General features: G+C 45.7%; 1 annotated feature.

Annotated features, from left to right (window-relative positions):
- Positions 416 to 988: an enhancer, noted in NCBI's record as "H3K27ac-H3K4me1 hESC enhancer chr15:31548124-31548696 (GRCh37/hg19 assembly coordinates)". NCBI's record gives its function as "activates a minimal SCP1, AML or CMV promoter by ChIP-STARR-seq in naive H9 embryonic stem cells {active_cell/tissue: H9 hESC(naive)}" and the evidence as "EXISTENCE:reporter gene assay evidence [ECO:0000049][PMID:30033119]".

Here is a 4,471-nt window from a genome sequence, read left to right as displayed (position 1 = left end):
GCAGGGGCTGTGGGAGGAGCTGGCACTGCTGTTCTGTATCGAGGAGGATGCATCTTCTTTGCCAGAGCTGTGACTGCTGATAAAGGTGCCGCCTGTGCTCAGGCTTCTGGGGTCCCTAATCATCCAGCTCCTGCTGCTACAACTGCCATGCTGTGATACGGACATTCCTCTCTTCCTCCTGCCTTTGGAGCTCCTGCCACACCTCCTATGTTAGGTGCTACCACAGGGCCTAACCAGAAGCCAGTGGGTGAGGTGCCTGGCACATGCAGAAACCCCGGAGCCCCAGAGCAGAGCACAGACGGCGGGTGTGGGCAGCGACCCTGGCAGCCACCAGCACAGCCCCAACCAGGCTCCAGCCCCACTTGCCTGCTCTTGGCTCCTTGAAGCCCCGGGCTCCCCAGGGCAGCTGGCACGCCCTCCACACTTCTCCCCTGGGCTGAGTGCAGCTCACACTCTGGGTGTGGCACATAGGCCATTTCTGGAAGAGGCTTTCCTAAGCCCACAGGGGCTGCACTGTCTCCTGCTGCTGTTTTCTGCACATCTTCCTCACTAGAGGTGAGTTTCCTGAGGGCAGACAACAAACCTCACTTAGGCCCAGGCCATAAACACGGTGTATGTTTAGTGAATTTGTGAATTAAGAATGAAGGAATGTGGCTCACGCCTGTAATTCCAGCACTTTGGGAGGCTGAGGCGGGCAGATCACTTGAGGTCAGGAGTTCAAGACCAGCTTGGTCAACATGGTGAAACCCTGTCTGTATTTACAACACAAAAAATTAGCTGGGCTTGGTGGCAGGTGCCTGTAATCCCAGTTACTCAGGAGGCTGAGTGGGGAGAATCACTTGAACCCAGGAGGTGGAGGTTGCAGAGAGCATAGATTGCGCCACTGCACTCCAGCCTGGGTGGCAGCGTGAAAACTCACAGGCCTGCCGTTGGGAAAATTATAGAGTAGGTTGGGGGATTTTCTCTCTGGAGATCCCCTTTCCACACTCTCAATTTCTCTATTGCTTCAAGTTCCCGTCCTGACATCTGGCCACACCACACCGCCCTCCCTCAGGTCCTTCCTTCTGGCCCTGCACCTGGTGTCCAAGGGTGTGTAACTGGAACTATGTTGTCAATGGCCCAGACCCGAGCTTTGTGGCATAAAACACACAACTAGCTATTTATAGTCAGGGCTATTTATACAGAGTTTATGAAAAAATAGTTATGTGGTAGAACAAACTTGGAAAATTCAGGTTTAAGCAGATTAAACATGATCCTCTACTACAGAATTTCTCAGCTCCTGAAGACATTAAGGTGTCACTCCATAAAGGGGGCTCATTAGCTCAGTTCCCCAAACTTATGGAACCACAAACTCCTTCTTTTTAGGAACACCTAAGCAGAGTGTAGTAATTGATTAGTTATAACTTTAAATATATGTAATTGATCTATCTTTAAAGAGGTAACACATGCCCATAGAACAACACTCAATAGACAAAGTCAGGTACACAGAATAAAAAATGTGTCTTCCTTCCCGGCCAGCCACCCAGTCCCCCGCCCCAGAGGCAACCGCTGTCAGTAGCAGCATGCGTTTCTTCTCAGAAATGAGGCACAGCTTGTCACCCAAGATGGAGGCTTCCAGGAGGGCTGTGGATGCTTCTGGCTGCCCCTGCTCCTGGCTGCCCCTGCTCCTGGCTGCCCCTGCTCCTCCCATAGATGAGCCTGCTATGGTGGCCGCCACTGTTCTGCTCTGTCTAGCCTTGGGCCCACATTTATCCCTTTTTGTCCACTTTTTCAGAACCTGGAGGTGCTGCTGTTGCTCCTCACAGGTGGCTCCTGTGCCCCAGGCAACAAGCCAGAGGCACCAGTACCCTGGGCATGGCTCCCTTTCATTTACGACTCACTGTAGTTACTTTAGAGCCTTGGAGTGTTCTCTGGGATGAAAAAGATCAGGAATAGCTCTAGGCTGTGGCCTGGAGGAGCCTTGGGATCTCTTCATCCTTTGGAAGAAGGTGAGTTTCTTGGAAAATATTCCAGAAACGGCTCGAGCAGTTGTACCATGCTATTGTGCAAAAGAACGTCCAAAAACATCCTCACTTCTTCATGGCATGGACTTTCTCTGGAGTGGAGTGGGAGTGGTGCCAAGCACATGATGACAGAAGATCATAAAAACGGGAAATGGAATGGGTTTATTAGCTATTTGCTGCCGTGTAACCAGTTACTCCCAAGCCTTGCAGCTGAAATAACAAACTTTTATTATCTCATGAAGTTTCTGAGGGTCAGGAATTTGGGAGTTACTCAGCTCTGCAGTTCAGTCTCAGCATTGCATCGAGTTGCAGTCCAGACACACTGGCCAGGGCTGCAGGCATCTGAAGGCTTGACTGGGGCTGGAGGTCTGCTTCCAGCATTACCCAGGTGGCTGTTGACTAGAGGTCTCCATGGGCCATTGAGCATGCTCAAGACATGGTAGCTGGCTTCCTCCAGAGCAAGAGAGACAAGAGAGGGCAAGCAAGGAGGAAGCCACAGTGCCTTTCAGGACCTGGTCTCCAGAGTCACACTCAGTCACTTCTACCATGTTCTTTTTTTTTAAGTTGTTTTATTGAACTTTATTGTTTATAAATAAAATATCATAACACAGTTTGTGTAGTGTCACTGACACCAACTTCATAGTGAATTTTCTGCCTGAGATAATTCAATTTCAATGAAGGATCAGTGACACAGACATATTATGTATATATGATGTACATATGCATATATTCTCCACAAAATGTAATTTTCTGCATATAGTATGAAAGTGCTATAATGATTCATTTTGTTTAATGAACTCAAAATATAGCTAAATATATTATTGTGCATTAATTATAAGAATTAGTTTTCATGCTTTGCATAAGAAGTTTTTGGATTAGCATAATTTTATTATATATATTTTATTATACAATTTTAAAGTTAGTATGTTTGCTTAAAATATTTAATATATAACACTCATTGGCAAATGACAAAAGAAATCCCCCTGCAAAATAGCATTTTATTAAATGCTTTATTTATTTATTTATTTATTTTTTGAGACAGAGTCTTGCTGTGTCGCCCAGGCTGGAGTGCAGTGCCGTGATCTTGGCTCACTGCAACCTCTGTCTCCCAGGTTCAAGTGATTCTCCTGCCTCAGCCTCCTGAGTAGCTGGGACTATAGAAGCGAGCCACCATGACTGGCTAATTTTTGTATTTTTAGTAGAGACAAGGTTTCACCATGCTGGCCAGGCTGGTTTTGAACTCCTGACCTCATGATCTGCTCACCTTGGCCTCCCAAAGTGCTGGGATTACAGGCATGAGACACTGCATCCGGCCTAAATGCTTTATTATTTATTAAAACATTGGAGGATAAGTGCAGTGGCTCATGCCTGTAATCCCAGCACTTTGGAAGGCTGAGGTGGATAGCTTAAAGCCAGAAGTTTAAGACCATCCTGGGCAACATAGTGAGACCCCCCATCACCCCCCGCAAAAAAAAAGCCTGGGTGTTGTGGCTCACACCTGTAATTCCAGCACTTTGGGAGGTTGAGGCAGGCAGATCACCTGTCAGGAATTCGAGGCCAGCCTGGCTAACATGGCAAAACCCTGTCTCTACTAAAAATACAAAAATTAACCAGGTGTGGTGGTACATGCCTATAATCCCAGCTACTTGGGAGACTGAGGCACGAGAATCGCTTGAACCTGGGAGGTGGAGGTTTCAGTGAGCCGACATTGCACCATTGCACTCCAGCCTGGGCAACAAGAGTAAAACTCAGTGTAAAAAAAAAAAAAAGGAAAAAAAGAAAAATAAAAATTTTGGAATAGCTCTTCATAGGAAAGTTATCTCTTACTCTGAGTTCATAGTACTTGTGAGTCTAAAAATTTTTTGATTTTCCTGAAAAAGAAGAAAATAATTCTGGCTTAAGTTAGCATCTGGACTCTTCACAGATTTAGGTGGAAAAGCTAGAGGATTCACATTGAACATTGTATTTTGTAAGCCCCCAGCTTTGACCCTACCATGGTAGAGAGTTGCTAATGATTTCTCTTGGTGAAATCTAAGCTTTAACAACATTTCTAAGTCGCTGATGTATCTGAACCCATAAATATCTTTGGAGAAATGACAATGACAACATTTTGCATGATTTCTTTCATTCATTTGTGTATTAAAATAATTATCAAGCAGCTATTATATGCTAGGCAGAGCGCAAGGTACTGGGAATAAAAGAAATGACTATGACAAGATTACTGTCCTCCAGGAGCTGTGAGTTATTTGCAGATAGACACACGCTGTGCGAGAGAACAACCCCTAAACGTAAGTAACTATTTTTTCCACACTATCATTTCTCTACATACTATTCATTAGAAGTGAGTCACTAAGTACAGCCCACACTCATGGAGAGGAGATTTGATGGGAAGAATAGCAAAGCATTTGTGGACTATTTTAAAACCATCACAATGGGGATGGGGGACCAAACACGGGGCCAGCTAACAG

Source organism: Homo sapiens, chromosome 15, assembly GCF_000001405.40.
Source record: "Homo sapiens chromosome 15, GRCh38.p14 Primary Assembly".
Classification (NCBI taxonomy): domain Eukaryota; kingdom Metazoa; phylum Chordata; class Mammalia; order Primates; family Hominidae; genus Homo; species Homo sapiens.
Note: the sequence above shows the minus strand (reverse complement) of the source record. Positions and strands in the feature narration are given on the sequence as shown.